This window comes from Homo sapiens, chromosome 5 (assembly GCF_000001405.40).
Source record: "Homo sapiens chromosome 5, GRCh38.p14 Primary Assembly".
NCBI lineage: Eukaryota > Metazoa > Chordata > Mammalia > Primates > Hominidae > Homo > Homo sapiens.
The window spans coordinates 38797061-38818269 of NC_000005.10; the positions used below are offsets into that span (position 1 = coordinate 38797061).

The 21209-nt window shown below is 43.0% G+C and overlaps 1 long non-coding RNA gene across 2 annotated transcripts in view, besides 1 other annotated feature; it reads right to left on the bottom strand.

Annotated features, from left to right (window-relative positions):
• The window catches only part of OSMR-DT (OSMR divergent transcript), a 152617-nt gene that overhangs the window by 103848 nt on the left and 27560 nt on the right, over window positions 1-21209 (bottom strand). The window contains exons 2-3 of one of the 2 annotated variants that reach the window (NR_171676.1): window positions 16536-16651; window positions 15045-15264 (exon numbers count right to left, since the gene is read on the bottom strand). The exons of the other annotated variant lie outside the window; for it this stretch is intronic. This is a non-coding gene — a long non-coding RNA (OSMR divergent transcript). Of the gene's footprint in view, window positions 1-15044; window positions 15265-16535; window positions 16652-21209 lie in introns of those variants that run through there. 2 annotated transcript variants of the gene reach the window in all.
• Window positions 13515-14015: an enhancer, noted in NCBI's record as "H3K27ac hESC enhancer chr5:38810677-38811177 (GRCh37/hg19 assembly coordinates)". NCBI's record gives its function as "activates a minimal SCP1, AML or CMV promoter by ChIP-STARR-seq in primed H9 embryonic stem cells {active_cell/tissue: H9 hESC(primed)}" and the evidence as "EXISTENCE:reporter gene assay evidence [ECO:0000049][PMID:30033119]".

A 21209-nucleotide genomic window follows, 5' to 3' on the forward strand; every position in this document is an offset into this window, starting at 1 on the left:
AATATCTATTAACAACATAAGTTTAACTAGATGATTTCTAAAGCTCTTTCCTACTTTTAAAGCTATGAACTTCTAGTCCCAATATTAGAGGGGGATATCTGAGGATAGTTGAAGCCCCCCCGACCTCTGAGCCTATCATGTTGTTCTCTGCCTTCATCACCCAGATGCCAAGAGATCCTAAGGTACCTTCTACCGACTGTGATCCAATGTCCCCGCTTTTCTCTTGGAGTTTTTGCTAGGATTTTATGCAAGAAAAGGCCCACTCTTTATTCTGGGTAACATTCTTAGTACTGAAACGAGAAAAATTCCTTTGTCCCCCTTACAGGGTGTGCGATGGGGGTGTGGCTCGCTTCTTCAGTGTCCCGCCGCTCAAACCTCTAGGGGAGCATACAGAAGGGCAGGCTGTGGGGGCTCTGACCCCACGGCAGTGTCTAGGGGTGAATGTGTATGGCTCCTGAAGCCCGAGTGGGCATGTGTTACAGGATACTCTTTTAGTTTAGCCATCTGTAGGCAGCTTGTTTGTTAGCTCAACTAGACCCCCTTCCTTATCACAAGGACAGAGGGGTTTCTGTATCCCGGGGTTTCTTGCCTTGGTGTACCAGAAGAATCAGATCACACCTAGGCTTGGAGAATGAGTGCAAGATTTTATCGAGCAGAAGTAGCCCGCAGCAGATGGGGGAGCCAGAAGGGAGCTGGTTTCCCCCGGAGTGGGCTGCGGTGGCCCGGGCTCTCCTCCAACTGCCCCGGCCAAACTCCACCTCATTCCACCGGTGGATGGCCTGCTGGTGGACGGCCTGTCGGTGTGCCACCAGCATGCTCCCCTAGACGTCCTCTCGCCCACCAGCTTCATGTGTCTTCTTCCACTGATGTGCTCCTCTCAACGTCTGGCCACCTGTGTCTGCCTGCTAGGGTCTCGGGGTTTTTATAGGCACAGGATGGGGGTGTCGCGGGCCAGAGTGGTCCTGGAAAATGCAACATTTGAGCAGGAATGCAGGAGTGCCTGTCCCCACCTAGGTCCGTGGGGGTAGAGCCCTAGCCAGAGACCACGCCCTCCTCTACCCGGCACTTCCCCTCCCCCTTTCCAGATCATTTAAAGGGACCACGCTCTTCCCTTCCTGGCACTCCCAAATCAGTATGAATATTATAACTGATATTAATGTTCCTATTACTAGCTTCCTCACACTCACCTAATACGATGTGACCAACAAATAAGTTTAAAACGAAGAAATGTGAAAACACACATTTGGTTGAAGCTTAAAGCCTGTAAACCAAAAAGTATCTGAGACAAGCCTCAATCAATTTAGGAAGTTAATTTTGCCAGGGTTAAGGACATGCCTATGACATAGCCTCAGGAGGCCCTGACGACATATACCCAAGGTGGTCGGGGCACATCTGGGTTTTATACGTTTTAGAAAGACACGAGACATCAAAAAATATATATGTAAGGTGTACATTGGTTTGGTCCGAAAAGGCAGGACACCTCGAAGTGGGAAGGGTCCAGGTCTTAGGTAGATAAAAGACGAATGGTTGCATTAAACAATAGGGCGAAGGAAGCAATCAGATATGCATTTGTCTCACGTAAGCAGGGGGGATAACTTAGAGTTTAATTTCCTTGTGGGCAAAGTGTGAGGGAGGTGTGTAACTTTTTTATCTTAGTAGCTGTTTTAGGAATAGAATGGGAGGCAGTTTTGCCCTAAGCAGTTCCCAGCTTGACTTTTCCCTTTGGCTTAGTGATTTTGGGGTCCCAAGATTTATTTTCCTTTCTCAAGCCTTTCTACATAATTGCTGTCGCCCTCCTGTCTCCAGGTGTGTGTTCGTTGCATAGCGCTCTAGGCAGTTGTTTCCAACCTTGGCTACACAGTAAATTTCCTGAGAAGCTTTTATTTCTTTTTGTTGTTGTTATTGTTTGTTTGCTTTTTTATTAGAGACAGGGTCTCACTCTCACTCAGGCTGGAGTGCAGTGGCACAATCCTACCTCACTTCAGCCTCAAACTCCTGGGTTTAAGAGATCCTCCTACCTCAGCCTCCTGAGTAGCTAGGACTACAGTCCCACGCCACTACACCCAGCTAGTTTTTTTTTTTTTTTAAAAAAATAGGGTCTTGCTATGTTGCCCAGGCTGGTCTCAAGTCAAACTCCTGGCCTCAAGCAGTCCTCCCACCTTGGCTTCCCAAAGTGCCGAGATAAAAGGCATGAGCCACTGTGCCCAGCCCTGAGGAGCTTTTAAAAGTCCCATGCACAGGCCAGCTGCTGACCCAAAGACATCAGCCTCTTTTCCTGCAGTGGGACCAGACAGTAGTATTCTGAAAAGTCCCCGTAATTCCAATTTTCACCAGAATTGGAGATCTATTTAGGGCATACACAGGACTTGAGGAACATCTGAGGTGGAGCTATGTCATCTAACCCCTGCGTGGACGAAGGCATTACCTCGGATTTTTTCTTTTTCTTAAAACCTACGCAGATTAAGAAGTGTCCTTTTTATTACTCTGTGTTTCACTGGGGAAATCATACTTTGTACCTTTTCTCTCAATTTCTTCTTTTACCTTGAGTAACCCACATGTTGGCCTCCTGGGTGTCCCAGGTGCCTCAGACTTGAGGATCTTCCTGTTCTCTCATATGTTCAATTAACTTTCGTTAAGCCTCGTGTTCAGCCAACACATCTGAGGATTCCTGAGGGACTCATATTTCCACTGACACCTCTTCCTGCTTCTCCTAAATGTTTTGTCTCTGCTCTCTGTGCTATCTCCTGCAAGCATCATCTGTCTTCCTCATTATTTTTCTCCGTTACCAACGCCATTCCTATTACTTCATTCCCTCAAAGCACCACTAACAAAAGACTGTGTGTGCAACAGACTTTCACGGATATTTTAGTGCTAATGAAGGATTATTACCACACAGAACAGCACAGGCATCAACTTAAAATTGAACGTCAGACATTACCGGCCTAACATCCAGTGGCCGTGGAAAATTCCAGTCATGTAGAATTATTTTTTACTTTTTGGGTCACACCCACTCCAGAGGCTTTTTCATCTTTTCTCTAGCTCTTAGGCTTGACTTGCCCAAATTCCTGACACTTCTTTTATGCAGGGATAGTCAGCTTTCCACATCCTCAGTGAAAGTAGCCTTTGGCTGACTTTGACACATCCCTCTGCCCATTCACTCAGCTAACCCAAGGGCCAAAAGCACAAAGGGATGCACAAACGTTCCTCTTACGTCATCCCTTTCACCTGGTCATCTTTCCACGCAGAGCCACCCTCCCAGGTCGTGGCTTCCAACTGTCTGCCCTCTTTGTTCTGTTGTGCTCGTTGTAGTCTGAAATCAATTCCTTGATTTAACAATCGGTCTCCGAGTACATAGCACCAGACCACCCACTATGTGATGTCTCTGCTAGGTGCTGGCGGGGGCAGCAGAACTGTAAACATTAGAGCTGGGAGGGACTCAAGGACAATCTAGCTCCTCACTGGAGATGAATAGAGTTGAGACCAGCCTCATGTCAGGCCGAGGGTGGAGTGGGTCTTGGTGGGAGCTCAGGCTTCCTGCACTCATAGTCAGAAGCACAGTGGTGTGACCCTGGGCAAGTTACTTAACTTCTCTGTGTTATTATTAGCTCTGAGGCTAATAATAGAACCAGTTTATCGGGCTGATGGAATAAATGAACTGATGCAAGCAAAGTACTTGGAGAAGTGTCTAGTGCATAGCACATGTTCAATCAGATCATGACCCTGGCCATGGGCCCCACAGCCAGTTAGGAAAAACCAGATGGAGAACTCAAGCTCTTTGGCCTCTGGTTCCCTATGCCTCTTACTCTGCCAGCCCACAAAGGATAACACACAGGCGAGCCCACAAGGACTTGCCATCTAGCTGGGTAAACAAAACAAAGACACCTGAAACAATCAGGGGCCACTATTAAGAAACAGATAAAGGGCCAAAGCAGTGATTCTCAAGCATGATTGCACATTAGCGTCACCTGGGGAATTTTTCAAAGTCCTGATGCCCAAGCTACACCCAGACCAATTAAATCAGAATCTCCAGAGGCAGGGCCCAAGCATCAATACATTCTAAATCACCCCAGGTAATTTTAATATACAGCCAAGGAAGAAAATCACTGGCTCCAACAATCCTGACACCTTGATGGGTAATGTCAATGCAAAGAGGTAATTTGCTCCCAATTTTTTCCCAAACACTACAAGTACTTGGAAAGCCTCAACTTGTCCACATTATTTTTTTACTCCTCATCCAATCGTTAATTTTTTAAAGCTCTCATTGGTTAGGCCTTCACTATGTGCCAGGCTGGACACTTCTCATGCATTACCTCATTGACCCAACACAATAATCCTATTAACCTGTACTATAATTAACCCCGCTTTACAGATGTGGAAACTAAGATCTGGAGAGATGCAGTCATTTGGCCAAGATGACACAGTTAATGTGCAGTAGATCTGGGACTCAAGCACAGGCCTTCTGACACAGAGCCCATGGAACCAGATGGGACCCATCTCAGAAGCTCTGGCCTGTGAAGCATCCTGGTGTCTGTCACCTGCCACCCACAAATTTGAGGGCAGAAATTTCTCTAACATCTCACCACCAGCACCACAGCCTCCACCTCCTCTAGCACGATGATTCAAACCCATGCTGGTCATTTTTATAAAATATAGATTTTTGTTTGGCTTCAACCCCCCACTCTAAGAGATCAACTATTCCCTTTCTCTCCCTTTTCTCACTTAAAAATTGTTAGCACAGCATACAGCAAAGCGTTGTTCTCACCACCCCAGTCTTCCAGAGAACAGTTATTTTGCTCTCAAAAGTCTTCATCAAACAAATTTGAATTTCCTTTCCCTTTCTAAGGCCAAAGTCCTTATTATGGATGTATTAATTATCTACTGTTGTGTAGCAATATTACCAGAAGTTTACTAGCTTAAAACAGCACACATTTATTATCTCACAGTTTCCATGGGTCAGGGATCCTCTACCTAGGATCTCATAAGGCCGCAATCAAGGTGTTAGTTGGGGTGGCAGTCTTAACTGTAAAAGAACCCAGTTCTGAGCTCTTTCAGGTTGCTGGCAGCATTCAGTTCCTTGCAGTTACAGGACTGAGGGCTTCCATTTCTTGTTGGCTGTTGGTCAGAGACAGACTCTCAGCTCCTTGCCACACCGTCCTCTCTATGGGCAGCTCACGATGCTGCAGCTTTCTTCTTCAAAGGCAGCAGAAGAGGGGGGCTCCTCATGAGGTAGGAGTATAAATTGTGGTCACCTACATATAATTACTTTTGCTGTATTCTGTTGATTAGAAGTAAGCCACAGGGCCCACCCACACTCAAGGGAAGGGATAAGGGCACGAATATCCCAGTGCGAAGATCATGAGGCCACCTTAGAGACTGTCCTTCACAATAGGTTATGGATGCCTTTCTGCCACTCCTTCTGAATGTTTTCTCTTTTTTTTCTATCTCCACTCTCCCCAGTTCTCAGTCTTCGCCCAGGTTGCCCCCAGGTTTGGAATGCAAAGGAAAGTGAAATTTATTCCATCCCCAGCCCTTACTCTAAGGATGGGGAAAGCCATTTGGGTGGAAACCCTTCATTGTCAGTGAGGGTAATACAATATGACAATGTAACCCAGAGCAAGGAGAAGCCGAGTCCCTCTCAAAAGGTTTACAGCACTAAAAACAGGCTTCAATACTACTAAAGGGTTTCAGCCCTGGTTTGCATGAAATAGAGCCAAATGTATGCAAATAGAAGGAATATGAGTTTTTCATGCAAATCAAATGGGTATATTTAGAAGGAAATTAATCCTTGTTATATGAGGTGACTTTAAATTTGGAGATTCAGAGAGAGAACTAGTCACAGGTCAGAGTAAAAGTCCCTTCACTCTTTCCCACTGGTCAAAGCTGAGTCCTATATGTATACCACCCCCTCTCCAAGCCAGTGGTCTCAGAGGCCAGAGTAATAGACATGGGCCAAGGAGAAAGACCACTGGAGATGATGACTGAGGTTTCAAGACACTAGAAAGAACCCAATGGTGTAGGACTTGATTATTTTTCTATGCAGTGGTGGGCTTTATCTTAGCAAGAGAAGTAGAGGAAGAACGATGAGATAATACAGATGATCCTGGATTTATAGTGGGGTTACATCCCGATAAACCCATTATGAAGTTGAAAATATCATGAGTCAAAATGCATTTGATACACCTAACCTATTGAACATTATAGCTTAGTCTCATTTATGTTAAACGTGCTCAGAACACTTACATTAGTCTAGAGTTGGGCAAAAGCTTCTGACACAAAGCCTATTTTACAATGAAGTGTCAAATATCTCATGTAACTTACTGAATACGGTACACAGCAGAGCATTGGTTGTTTACTCTTGCGATCACGTGGCTGACTGGGAGCTGCAGTTCACTGGCACCACCCAGCATCGAAAGAGAGTATCCTATTGCCTTCTACTGAATATGTATCACTTTCATACCCTCTTAAGGTCCAAAGATTGTAAGTGAAACCATCATAAGTCAGGGACTATCTATATATCAGAATTGGTTTCAGCTGTAAGAAACAGAAAATTCCTGAGTGAGAGTGACTGAAATAAGAAAGATTACGTCTCTCTCATGTTCAAGAGGTCTAGAGGCAGCCAGAGCTGGGCTGGTAAATAATCTACGGGGCGAAGAGTCTTCTCTAACTTTATGCCACATACACTTTTCATTTCCAAGGTAACTTCATGGTCCAAGTGGCTGCTGGAGCCCAAGTTATTACATCTGTCTCCCAGTCAGTAAGAAGGAAAAGGAGAGAAGAAAAACACCTACTCTTCCACTTAAGGATACGCTGTGGAAGCTGCACACACATTTCTGCTAATATTCCATTGCCCAAAAAGGAGTCACAGAGCCGCACCTAGCTCCAAGAGAGGTTGAGAACTGTTGTCTTTATTGGGGGTAGCTAAGCATCCGGATAATCATCAGGTACTTAAAAATGGGGGAAATGTCTACAGGTGGATGACAGTCTCCAACTAAGGTATGGTGGACATAAAGACGCACCACCCAGCTTCCACATGCAGGAAGGCCCCATTGCCTCACCTGTCAGGGGTGCAGGTGGTGGACAGCCTTCACCTCCAGCCCTTCAGGTCAGTCTTAGCTGCAGAGAGATGCCTGACCCAAGGGCTTGCTGTCCCGCAGGCAGCCCACACTTAATGGCTGATTGAGGTTGGCACATTGGGGCCTGCCTTTCAGCCCAGCATGGAACAGGTCTGGCAGGCCATGTAAGCTTCAGAGCTCCCCTTGCAGTTGGCTGAGGTTGCTATTGGTCACTTCGAAGTTCTACTTCTCCTTCAACCCAATCCTACTCTGCTCCATCCTTTTCCCAGATGTTGATCCCAAGGGCACTGCCTGATAAACATCCTGTACTCTTAACTCTGTCTCAGAGTCTGCTTCCCAGGGAACCCCACCTGCAATAACAGAGGGGATGAAGACTTAAGGGAAACAACTGTAGGATGTAAAGAGAGAAGAGAAGAGTGAGGAAATAGGGAAGTTCACAAAAGACTGGAGTAGTCAGAGTTCTCCAGAGAAACAGACCTATTGGATGGGGATCTACCGATGGGATGGAGATACTTGTACATATATAAAGAGAATTACTATAAGGAATTGGTTCACACAGTTATGCAGGCTGTTATAGTGTGGACTGGTAGGCTAGGGACCCAGGAGGGCTGATGGTGCAGATGAGGTCCAAAGGCGGTCTGCAGGAGGATTCACCCCTGCTCGGGGAGGCTGGTCTTTTTGTTCTATTCAGGCCTTCAATTGGCTAAGACCCACCCTCATTATGGAGGGCAATCTGCTATTAATGTTCATCAAATTAAATGTTAAATTCATCCAAAAATACTCTCCAAGTTGACACATAAAACTAACCATCACAGTCACCTTTCCAATGCCCAGGAAGGTCTCTCTCCCATAATCTCCCTTCCCTTCCCTGCCCCATACATATGCACGTGCACACACACACACACACACACACACACACCCCTAGGTGTAGAGGTTTGCACTTATGGCAGTAAAATAGAGCAAGCTGGCTGGTTTCATCACCCCTCCCATGCTCTGTAATGCTATTAGACTTTACAGAATCCTTGGGAAAAGAGCCTTTTTAGGCACTGCAATATTAACTTCAGGAAAGGTAAGAGAGGCTGGGATCCAACCAAAATTTAAGAAGATTATCTCCCTCTATTCAGTACAGGACATGGTACCAGCTGTTTAGTAGATTACTAGGCCATAAAGCATCTATGCACAAACAATTACCAAGGCAGAAAATGTCATTCCTTCCCATTTTCCATGCCCCAGTGAGAGCAGAAGAGGTCACTAGTAAGGTTTCAGCAGGAAAGGGGCTGCCTGCTTACCTAAGCACATCCTCCCAGCTCAGGGAGGGTCTGGCCTGGCTCCTGTCAGGTTTTCTTGCCTAACTCCATCCCTTCTCCAACTATCCTTACCCATATTAGACCTCCCAGAACTCCTTTTTGTTCTGCATAGATCTAAGTTAGATGTAGGTTAGTGTTGTTTCTGTCAGATTACTGGCAACACTACTTCAGTGATGATGTCTACTCTTTAAGATGAACCTGCAAGGGCCAAGTCTGGTTCTGTGGCCTATGTACATTCAAAAAGGTTGAGACCTTTTCATATCATTAAAAGTACATTTTTACCATAAAAATGTAGGTGATATAGTAACTTCCCTGTCCAAAAAATATCTACTGTATACACTCTGAAAACAATAGTGGGAGATCTGGAAAAATCAATTACTTGCCCTGCATTTCCAGGATGTATCCAAAATACAATAAAAGAAACTTAGAAGGCTTGAAAGATGGTTTAGAGCTGAGCAGGCTTGCACTGATTAAAAAACCCAGTCCCCCTGGGAAACTGAGACTCGAAGAAATAACATGATATGTCCACGCCCAAACAGCTAGTTAGTTGTGGAGCTGGGTTTTGAGCATAAGCCTCAACTCCTGTGATAAAGTGTAAATATTACTCAGGTTTTCTTGACTTCTTATTTCCATTCAGTGAAGGCATCATTTTTACAAAAACAATATCACATGCAAATGGGACTTTCCAGTGTTTGCTGATGGATTGGCAAACAGTACTTAGATTCTCACTGAAACCCAACTTTTCTTCTCACTGCATGCACAATGGGATCATCGGTTCCCTTGCCGGGCACCGAGTAGGGAAGAGAGTTCTGCTAATGTGTTCCAATTCCTTGGGATCAGCCCAAATTGCCCCAAGGTTTAGGGATTTGCAATACCAGACATCTGACTGGATTATTCAATAGTCATCTCCTCCCCACCCCCAAACCCCTGTCAAAAGTGCAATAAGGCACATCAAGACAGCATCTTTAGAAAGAAGTTTTAGTATACCTTCTTGAGACAAAGCTAAGCTTTTGGTGTTGCAAACCAACAATGGCTCTCATAGTCCCTCCCTCCAGGAAAATTAATAATACATGAGGATTTTCAGGAATTGCTAGAAGCATGATACCCACTCTTTCCAGATTTCCTGGAAGAATACTGATTTCTGTCTGACAAATAAGTTCATTAAGCATGTAATGAAAATTTAATTTGATTTTCAGACCTTTGCAAATGTATCCTATTCATCAACCCATTCGTGAGAAAAAAGAATCCTTTGATGGACCTTGTGTCCTGATGGTTTGTTTGGAAATGCAGGGGGTGCAACCCAATATAAAGAATGAGCTGAAGACAAGAAAGCAGCCTGAGAACCTCCATGCTGGCCTGGTCTCGGCTCCTCCCACCTCCACCCAGCCCCCACCTCCTGGACGGCAGGCAGGGCAAACATCTATGCTCCACCCAACACACATGCATGAGGAGCATTCTTTCTTCCCACAAGGCAAATTTCGTTTTTGCAGAAAATGCATCTGACTCACTTTCTCCTCTGAGGGTTACGAGATGTCCTGCTATAGGTCACAAGTTCAGCTGAGTCATGAATGCTGAATTGCCAGCTGTGCTCATCCAATCATATTTAACATTCAGAAGTGCCATGAAACCCCAAACCCACAAAAACAACTTAACTGCAGGGCCCAGACCAAATCAGTAGCAGAGGGGGGTTTCAATGCTGTTCTGTCAGCTATTTTCCCCTGAACCCCAATCTTTACCCCCCAACCCTCTGGTCATCATCTCCTATCATCCTTCCCTCCTCTCCATCTTCTCTCTGTCTCTCTGTCCCTGCATTTCCAGTCTGGTTAAATCTGAGTTTCAGCCGGGCGTGGTGGCTCACACCTGTAATCCCAGCACTTTGGGAGGCCAAGGCGGGTGGATAACGAGGTCAGGAGTTCAAGACCAGCCTGGCCAACATGGTGAAACCCCATTTCTAATAAAAATACAAAAATTAGCCGGGCATGGTGGCGGGAGCCTGTAATCCCAGCTACTCGGGAGGCTGATGCAGGAGAATCGCTTGAACCCAGGAGGCGGAGGTTGTAGTGAGTGGAGATCGTGCCACTGCACTCCAGCTTGGGCGATAGTGTGAGACTCCGTGTCAAAAAAAAAATTCTGAGTTTCAATGTGCAGCGTGATTTCTTCTCTTCCTCATGATTGCTGTCAATTCCTGGCTGCAGGAACAAGGATCTTGCCAACAATCCTGAGCCAGAGCGTTCTGAGCTCCCCACCCTTTCTTCCTGTCACCTTCCGATTCATTTCCTGTAAGCTGTGACCCTTTCTTGGGAACATTAATTAGCCATGATGCTTTTTTATCAGAATTCTAGGAAAATGATACCGGTATGACTCACACTTCTGCTGTTTAAACAGTGTTTACTATATTTGAGTGCGGCAGATGAGCTTTTTGCAGGGTGCTTACTATATAGATTTATGACCTTCTATAACCATTCTGGGAAAGAAAGAAAAAGCATGCATCGGCACCACTTAATGAGGCTTTACCGTATCATTCAAACTTTTAGAGTGAAAACATATGGGATGCAATATCTTTAGATGATCTCATAAAAGCCTTTATTTAGGAATACAACACATTTCTTTCGTGATGCTAGTTTTAAGAATGAAGTTACCACAACCCCCAGAGATTATATTCTACCACTCTTTGCTTGATAAGAGGGTGATTTTCACAATCTACACTGTAGCTATCTAAGGGATTTTACAATCTATGCAGTCATGAGCTGGATTAAATAAACTATGTAAATTTATGTGGACCAGGGTCTAAATTAATTCAGGCCAAAATAAATCAAACCTTAGCTAGACCATGATTTAATTAAAAATTGAAAATATGACTCATGGCACTTAAGTATACTGATGTTTACTGCCAAAAGAAGCATTGTTCCTGTGACAGAGATAAATGCAGGAAGGGCTGATAGATTCCTCAAGGTTGAAACAGAGATACTGAGATGGACATGGCATCATACACATTCCTACAATTGCTCAAATAAATATCTTTTGGATGAGTATCAGAAGTGAACTCAAAATATAGTCATGAAAAATCCATAGATATGTATGTTTTTATTCCCAGATTCTTCTCGCTCTAATTTTGGAGTTTTTGTGTTTTTCTTCTTGTGACTATATATATGTCATATATATTCATATATACATTAATATATAATCTCTATATATGAATATGTTTTTTGTCAATTTTTAAAAGCTCTTCTCCTTCCCGTTTTGACTTTTATATATTACTTATGTATTTTCTCCCTTCTATTTTCTGGAATCTGTCCTCTGACTTGCAATGTTAAGAGCATTCCTACTAGTGTGTCCTGTGCTGTGCAGGTTTGCATGTTTATGAAGCTTCCTTCTTGGAATATATGGACGATCTTTCACCTGGCTGAGGCTCCTCCTCCTCTTGCGTCCTCAACAAGGACCCGCGGCCACTGTCAGGGCTGCCCTCAGCATGACGCGGATTTCAGGGAAGGCTGGGTAGGGTAGGAATGTGTTTGAACCCCAACCAGGACCCATGGGAGGACTACTATGTGGGTGTTTAGGCAGCTATCAGGACAGTATTCGAAATCCAGATTCTCCGGGGCATGCGGCCTTGGCCATCACACGGATCTGGGGGACTCCCAGGCTGCAGACACTGCAGGCAGAAGGAAGCCGTGGTTCCTACCGGAGGCGCGAAGGCAGTGAAGTCGCCTCCACTCCAGTGTTCTGCTCTTGCTCCCTGCAGCCCTCGCCGCCCCGCCCGGTCCACGACCAGCTCCTCCCTGGGGATCTCTCCGAGCAGTGCCATTTTGCAATTCATCCTCCAACATTTCCAAGTAAAGCTTTTCTGTCATATTTGTGTTCGGGGAGTCTCTAATGCTTTAAGGCAAAGAAGTCAGTAATTTGGAGCTTCAGGCCTCTAGCAGGGTGGGAAAGGGGAGTCTCTTGCTAAGTCAGTAGGCGCCTGGGTGTCCTCCAAACCCCATAGGGCTTGTGGGACCTGTGCCACCCCTCCTACAACAGGGCCTCCTGTTCCTCCACAACAAGCTGGCTCTGTGACCTGCAGGATGGAGAAAGGTTGTCCTGGCCCCTGCCAGACTGGGAAACATCAGGGCTCTCAGGAAGGACAGGGATTTCCCCACACATTAACCTTGTGCAGGGGATTGGGAGGGAGTTGGTGCAAGCCTTTGAATTATTGTCCCCTTCCTTTCACTCTTCAGTATGAGCGTGAGCCTTCCTCCCCAAATACATGAACAATTTTTAGGAGACTTAGATAGAGAGAAACGCAATATTTAGGATCAAGTTTAAGATCCCCCAGAATTTCCCTCAAGAACGGCTAAAGCACATGGCCAAGAATCCCCTCACTACCAGCTGTGATCAATCAGGAGAGGGGAGGGGGCAGCTCCTAACACGACAGAGGCGAGTCTTGGCAAATGGATCTCATCTCCTGTGGGCTGGTCTGATCTTAAACTCCAAGGGAACCGCAGAGGCCTTTGTTCCTGCCTCACAGAAGGCGGCCGCCCGGGAAGCCGAGGAAGACCCATGCATTAGCCTATGGCGCCACCTAGCAAAACCAGGGGGTACTTAAGAAAGATGGAGCTGGGAGGTTGTGGGGTTTGTTTTGGATTGGTTTTTTTCCACAACCAGAAAAGGGGGTTTCCATTTCATTCACAGAGTTCTGGGAAATGGAATTTGTATAAAACATTTTTTGGTCATGATGGAAAACATTTATTTGACTCTAATGAGAGAATCTGACCCAAAGGCAATAGTAATCAAAACCTACGAGGACAAGTGCTTGATTCTCTGAACTTGTTGTTTTTTTTTTTTTCTAGTAACAGCTGTGACTATGCAGTTTTTGCTTCAAAAAGAACTTGATTCTATCTTACGTTAAAGATATCTTAAGTTAAAGAGTTACTTCTGGGCAATGTCTTCATGTCCAGAAGGGAAGAGGGGCTCGACACCGTGCTGCAGACAAACAAGTACGGTTGTGTCAAGGGACATTCTGACAATTTTATGATGTCACTTTGCCCCTTTTGGGTTCTGGAAAGTGAACTGTGGCTTCCCAGCTCCCACACATTAGCCCCATGAGGAGACACTTGGTGTACGTGCTGAAAATGCAGCACACCCGGCCGGGCACTGTGCCTCACGCCTGTAATCCCAGCACTTTAGGAGGCCGAGGCGGGCGGATCACCTGAGGTCAGGAGTTCGAGACCAACCTGGCCAACATGGTGAAACCCCATCTCTACGAAAAACATATAAAAATTAGCCGGGCATGGTGGCGGGCGCCTGTAATCCCAGCTACTCAGGAGGCTGAGGCAGGAGAATCGCTTGAACCCGGGAGGCGGAGATTGCAGTGAACCGAGATCGTGCCACTGCACTGCAGCCTGGGCAACAGAGTGAGACTCCGTCTAAAAAAAAAAGAAAAGAAAAGAAAATGCAGCACACCCAAAACATCCTTGGAGACCACGTCCAGATGGGAGCAGCCCTTCCCATCTGAAACATACAAATCTTTGTGGAAACAGAGACTCAAGAATGCCTCTAGGTTCCAGGCAAAAAGTGTTTTGATAACCGCACTGAGAAGAGACAGTCTTTGCCTTTAAAGGGTTAGGAGAATACAGTGGTTGTCAATATGGGCTCTGGAGCCAAATGCCTGGGGTCGAGCTCGCTTCCCTATTACTTCAACTTCAGTAACCTTAGTTCTCTATAAAATGAGGCTAATTCATAGGGTTTTTGTGACGTTTAAATGACATAAACCATATAAGGTGCTTACAATAAGACCTGGCACATGCAGGCACTTAATTTAAATGTTAACTAGTATTTAATCATTCTAGAATTTAAAGGAACAAACCCGAGTTTTCTCGCATCCTAATAAACCAGCCATGTTTTTTGATCCTACCTGAAGCGGTCTTCGTTAATTAGCATAGCGTATTGTGCCTGCGTAGCAGCCCCCAATGGCAATTTCTTTTTGATACCTTCACATTGGCAGCAGAAATAGGAGCAGGTGTCCAGCTTTTAAAAATTCTTTTAGGAGGTGCAGCACACCAACATGGCACATGTATACACATGTAACAAACCTGCATGTGGTGCACATGTACCCTAGAGCTTAAAGTATAATAATAATAAAAAAAATTCTTTTAGGAGAAAAGCATTCAAAAAAGTTTGAAGACCACTGCTCTATCTCAAATGGATGCTCAATTAATGCAGTTGACCAATTGATAATCAAGGTTTTTTTTGTTCACTTGCTTTTTCATGTATTACATTTTAAGTTTCTTAAGTGCAAGGATCCTGCCTGGCTACCCTATACCCCCAAACAGCAAGAAACTCTTATGTAATTTTAGATTAAACACCTAGACTAAACACCTAGACTATTTGAAAAGTGGTACCTTTTCTTAATCATATTAATATGACCAAGAGTCATATTATTAGTCAATTGAACTGACACTGTAGGCAAATAAAAACAAGAATTAATTTTTGGAGCCATCTTTGAAGGGCTAGCCACTGTGTATCGTCATTGACTCTGGTCTATTATTCTATTCAACCAATGCCTCACAAGAATCAAGTTACAACACAACATTATGAACAGCCCATTTCTTAGGGTATGGCAAACCGATGCCTTTTCCCGCAAGGCGAGTGCCTAAAGAATTTACCAGAAAGCCTTTGACAGTGATTAATGTCAGTGAAATAGCACTTTATTGTTAGAAGACATGGGATACATATCAACATACAAAACTTAAAGCGGAAGCCAAAGTGCAATGCTTCCTTGAGCTTCATTGACCAAGACAAATGAGGTCGTGCTCAGGCACTGGTGGTGGGAAAAATGGCTTGACAAATCTGCTATGTCCAGTATCTCCAGGCTTCACGTGGCTTTTTATTTATGCCTAATTAAACTGCAAAAAAAGGAATATTAATTTGATCTGAGAGCAGAGTAGTCTACATTCTTCCTATTTTTTATGTTCATCCTGCACCCATATTTGTATAATCACACATTCTCATCTGAATTGGATCAAGAGTCTTTGTTCTGAAAAATTATTACAAATTCTTTATGGATAAGAAGACATGGATAGCCATACTAAAGACCAAAGACTTTTTTGACTGCTGTATTCTATAGCATTTGCTTTCAGGTCTGATTGCAATGTTTTGTACAAAGCACACCAGAAATACAAACTTCACTGGAATTGCAACAGCAATTCACTGTACTCATGTAATAGTAATAGCAATTCCTGACATCTTCTGATTTTGGAACAACCCTTTGTAGGTGAAAACTCTGTTCATGGCAATTTGAGCATAAACTCTCTTTCCATATTGTTGTTAAATTTTGATGTACTGGAGCTGGGAAAGAAGCACCAACTTCATGCAACTCCATGCCAAACCAACCCCCTGCCTCTGATATGCCACAATGATCTGATGAATTATAATGTTCTACATATGATCTACTTGGCTGCAAAATGTTATCAGGTATATAAGCACATACACTTGGAGGCACATGACTTTATGTATTTAATATAATCCTAATAGAAATTTCCATGAGCTTCTCAGGAACCCTGGCAACTAATCCCAAAATGAATATGAAAGAGCCAAGGACCAAGAAAAGACATGACACTCAAAAAGAAGAACCCTACAGGAGATCTTGTCCTCCAGATATTACAATTGTTCTAGGGCTATAGCAATTAAGATAGTGTGGTATTGGGATAAATCATATAGATGGACCAGGGCAACAGAATATAGAATCCAGAAACATAACACACATGCATAGAAATTTTTTTTTCCTAGAGCTGGCATTGCAGACACTTGGAGGAAATATTAATTATTTCAATATGTGGTTATGGGGAAAACATATTACTCATGTGTTAAAAAAATAAAATTGGACCTCTTATATCACACAAAAAGCCAATTTCTGGTGTACTAAAGACTTAAATTTGAAAAGCAAAATTACAAAACTTATCAAAAATTAATATACATTGATAATTTTATAGCTTCCTAGTTTATAAAGACTTTCTAAATATGTATATTATAAATAGAATGATTCTTAAAATGAGATCAACCACATTAAAATTAAGAATTTACGTTCCTTAAAATGCACTGTAATGACCAACCTGGGAAACAGTAGGATGCCGTCTCTACAAAAAATTAAAAATCAGCTGGGCATGGTAGTACACACCTGTAGTCCCAGCTGCTTGGGAGGCTGAGGTGTGAGGATCGCTTGAGCCTGGTAGGTCAAGGCTGCAGTGAGCCATAATCGTGCTACTGCACTCCAGCCTGGGCAAGAGTGAGAGCCTATCTCAAAAAATAAAAAATAAAAATAAAAGACACTGTAATGAAAGTAAAAAAATAAGTGTCAGAAACTGGGAGAAGGTACTCATAACATAGAGAATTAAGCCCCAGAATATACAAAGAACTCTATAAACCTGTAAGAAAAAAATGAACAATCCAACTGATGAATGAGCAGAAATGTTACATGTGTGTTTCACAGAAGAGAAAGAAATGGCAACAAATACATGGAAAATGCTCAATCTTACTAGAAATTGGGGAGAAATTAGAACAGCAGTGATCAGATGCCATTTTATATTTACCACACACACAAGAAGTAAGAATCCTGACAATACCCGATGTGACTGAGAATGTGCAGCAGTAGTTACACCACTTTGGAAAATAAGTTGGCATCATTTAGTAAATACAAAAAGTAGCTGAACTCTCTGACCCAGAAATTTCACCCCTAGGTATATTCCCTAGAGGAATTCTTGCACTGTTTACTAGGAGGCATGGAAAAGAATGTTTATACCAGCACTGTTTGTAATTGGAGAAAAAAAAAAACTGAAAACAGACCAAATGTTGATTAACAATGGAATAAATTGTGGTGTATTCACAATGAATACATCAATGAAGAAATAAAAAAGCTACAGATGGCTGGGTGTGGTGGCCCATGCCTGTAATCCCAGCACTTTGGGAGGCCAAGGCGAACAGATCACCTGAGGTCAGGAGTTCAAGACCAGCCTGACCAACATGGTGAAACCCCCTCTCTACTAAAAATACAAAAATTAGCCAGGAATGCTGGTGGGCACCTGTAATCCCAGCTACTTGGGAGGCTGAGGCAGGGAGAATTGCTTGAACTCGGGAGGCAGAGGTTGCAGTGAGCTGAGATTGTGCTGCTGCACTCTAGCCTGGGCAACAGAGCGAGACTCCATCTCAAAAAAAAAGCTACACAGATGAGATTTAGAAAGGAAATGTTAAGTTAAAAAGCAACTGGTGGAAGAATATATGCAGAATGACTCAATTTACATAGCATTCAAAACACACAAAACTAAATACATTTAGGAGGATATAAATACATGAAGTTAAAACTATAGAGAAAAGCAAAGAGATAATGAATACAAAAATCTAGTTAGTAGTTGTCTCTGATGGGAGAGGGAGAGGGAAGAGGTTGGGAAAGAGTGCTTTAAAGCTTTCTAAAGTAATGGTAATGCACTCTTCAAGTGGGTGGTTGGTAATGAACACCTGTCGTACTCTTATTATTTAACACCCCCCCCCCCGCAAGTGTTTTAAGCTCTTTATTTTGAAATAATTTCATACTCATATAGAAATTTCAAATAGAAATTTGAGTTCAATGAGTTCCTATGAGCCCTTCATCCAGCTTCCTCCAATGATATAATCTTGCATAAGACAAGTTCAATTCACAACACCAGGAAACTGACATTGAACTAAATGGCAGGCTTTATTCAGATTTCACTAGTTTTTACATATACAATTTTTGAGAGTGTGTATGTAGCTCTTTGACATTTTATTGCATGTATAGATTCCTGTAATTGCCATCACAATCAGAATACAGAGCTGATCCATTAACACTAAGAAACAATTTCCTTCCTCTTGAGAGTCCTACCCTCCTCCCAGCCCTAAGCCCTGGCAACCACTTATTGGCTTTTATCACAATAATTTTGTTACCCTACATATATATTTTAATGTTTTTTAGTATCTATTTAATTTTTTTCTTTTTTTTGAGACAGTCTCACTCTGTCACCCAGGCTGGAGTACAGTGGCACGATCTTGGCTCACTGCAAGCTCCACCTCCTGGGTTCACACCATTCTCCTGCCTCAGCCTCCAGAGTAGCTGGGACAACAGGCGTGTGCCATCATGCCTGGCTAATTTTTTGTATTTTTAGTAGAGACAGGGTTTCACCATGTTAGCCAGGATGGTCTTGAACTCCTGACCTCAGGTGATCTGCCTGCCTCGGCCTCCCAAGTGCTAGGATTACAGGCGTGAGCCACCACACCCAGCTGTACCTATTTAATATTTTAAACAACCACCTGCCCCCCCTCCCCTCCTCTGACCACACACACACACACACACACACACACACACACACATACACACACACAGTTTCAGAAGAGAAAAATGCTTAGAACCTGTAAAGATTATCCTCACATCCACCATTAGCTCTCTTAGTGAAATTTTCCCAGGCTTACTCAATTACAAGTAATTTCATGTTCACCCAGTTCACTTCCTTCACCCACTCTTATAAGACCAAAGATAAAGATGTGCACACATTTTTTTTTTTATTCTCTAGAGGGTCATCTTAGAATCAAAAGACCACTCTGTTTTCCCAAACCTCCCCCCAGCCAGGAGTTTGTCAGGTTTTTTTTTCATATTTTCAAAGTATCAAATTTTTACTATATTGATACTTTCTACAGTATATCTGTTTTCTATTTCCTTAATCTCCAATCTTTTCATTGGTATCTCCTACCTCCTTAATAAATTTAATTTACTGTTCTTTATCTCAGACCTCTGCAATGGGGAAGACATTTATTACAGTCTCCGTTTCAGAGAATAAAGCTAGCCCAGCCTGGGGAAGTTTTACACAACAGATTAAACACAGGTGGAAAAATCACAGACACAATCACAGACACACTGAGAGTCACTGATCTTGACTGATCAAACCTAACACTTAAGTCATGCCCTGCACTTTCCATTCCTTTCCCCCCAGGCTGGTTTGCTCCTGTTTTTGCAGATTCCCTGGCAGATCCCAGGCTCCTGACGTCTGGCTGCTCCAGACACAGCCAGTTTAGGTTGAAACTAAATGATCTCATTCACCTGAACCTCAGTGTAGTTGCCTGCCTTTCCTGGAATCCAACCCACCTCTTCCTTAATCAGATCCTTTTCCTCCACCCAGCCTCCTGGGGAGAAAGCCTTCCCCTCCTCTAAACTTTTATTTAAAAACAAGCAAAAAAAATGGCTTCCCATTTGTGCTCTTATGACTCCCCTTGATGCTTACTGCATTTTTCAAACCTGGTTCAAAACAGCTCCACTCCTCACCCCTATTTTTATTCTTTCCCCTGGTTCTCCTCTTTTGCCTGAGGTGTGTTTTGTTTGTTTTGTTTCCATTTTTCAATGCTCACCCAGGCATGTATAGGCAGACTCTGTTTTCACCACAACCAACCAATTCTTGGAATCTTCCTCCTAAAGACAGTTATGTTTCCTTCTAAGAACAATGACAACATTGGGGATTGCATTCTTGAAGAAAGCTCAACAATAATTAAATGAGTTTATTAGTGTATTCCTTAGGATAGCATCATGTGATTTGAAAATGGGTCTATGGACAAATAAATCTGAGTGACAATGGATTTAACAGAGTGCTTCCCAAACTCTGACATGCAAGAATACCCAGATCTTTTTTGTGTTACCCACATACCTCCTTTTTTTGGAAGGCAGGTTTCTATGGAAGGCATCTTGAGTGTAGAACAACCACTGAATTAAGACATGTGTATGACAATAACATGTTATTTTTTAAGAAACCAAGTTAAAAGAGCTGAAGGTTCTGTTCTCCAACTTCTATGACATGAGCACAAACACATTCCATGTGATGAATATGCTATTTGCTCTTAGATCCACCGTCCACCCTGCCACCTCCCCAAAGGAGCTGACCTATAAAGAACAGGCTCCCTTGTTCTTCATTCCAGTCTCTTCCTTGATGCCAAGAATACTCCCCAATAAAACTCTTGGATCCATCTCAGAATCTACTTTCCAGAGAATCGGCCTATGACAAGAGTCAAATAACTCTATAGATTTTATGAGAAAGAGCAGCCTTTCTTTTTGCTCTCATTACCAGTTTTCCAGAGGCAATTAGTTTCAGCTCCTCTGATATATTATTTGCGTATCCCTGGAAAAAATGTTTATATTGCTACTTTTTAAAAATTTTTCTGTTTTAGCATTACCATCAACTTACCTCTATGGAAACTGAACATATTGCTCTCTTACACATACACACATACAGGGATTGAGAGAGAGAGAGAGAACAATTCCCATCTACCCACCATCCCAGTAAACTTAGAATCAGTGCCCAGTAAACATGTTATTATGACAATACATAAGTGACAAAGAAAGCTCAGTAATATAATAGAATATGATTGCTTTTCCCCTTACATTTTCTTTCCCTAAAGTGAATGTCTGACTTGTTTTTCCATTTGCTTAGTTTTCTATGTATTTATCACTAATTTCCAAACACTCCCCCTGTAAATCTCCTCTTTATACATTCAAACAAATTAAGTACACTATCACTTTTACTTTTTGGAAGATGTCTCTTCTAGAACCTTCTGGACCACATTAATTGGATGATCGATACCTAGGATTGCCTACTGTTTTCTTGGAATCTCCTTTCCCATTAATTTAGAGACTTCCTTTACATCTTTCTTGCATTGAATCTCTTGTTTCACTCTTTCTTGGTTTACTTCCTTGTTCTGGTGGAGCCCATCTATCAGTACTTTCCTTGGAAAGGGTGCATGGTAAGTAAATTTTTTGAGATCTTGTTTATCTGAAAAATAGTTTATTTTACCTTTATAGTTG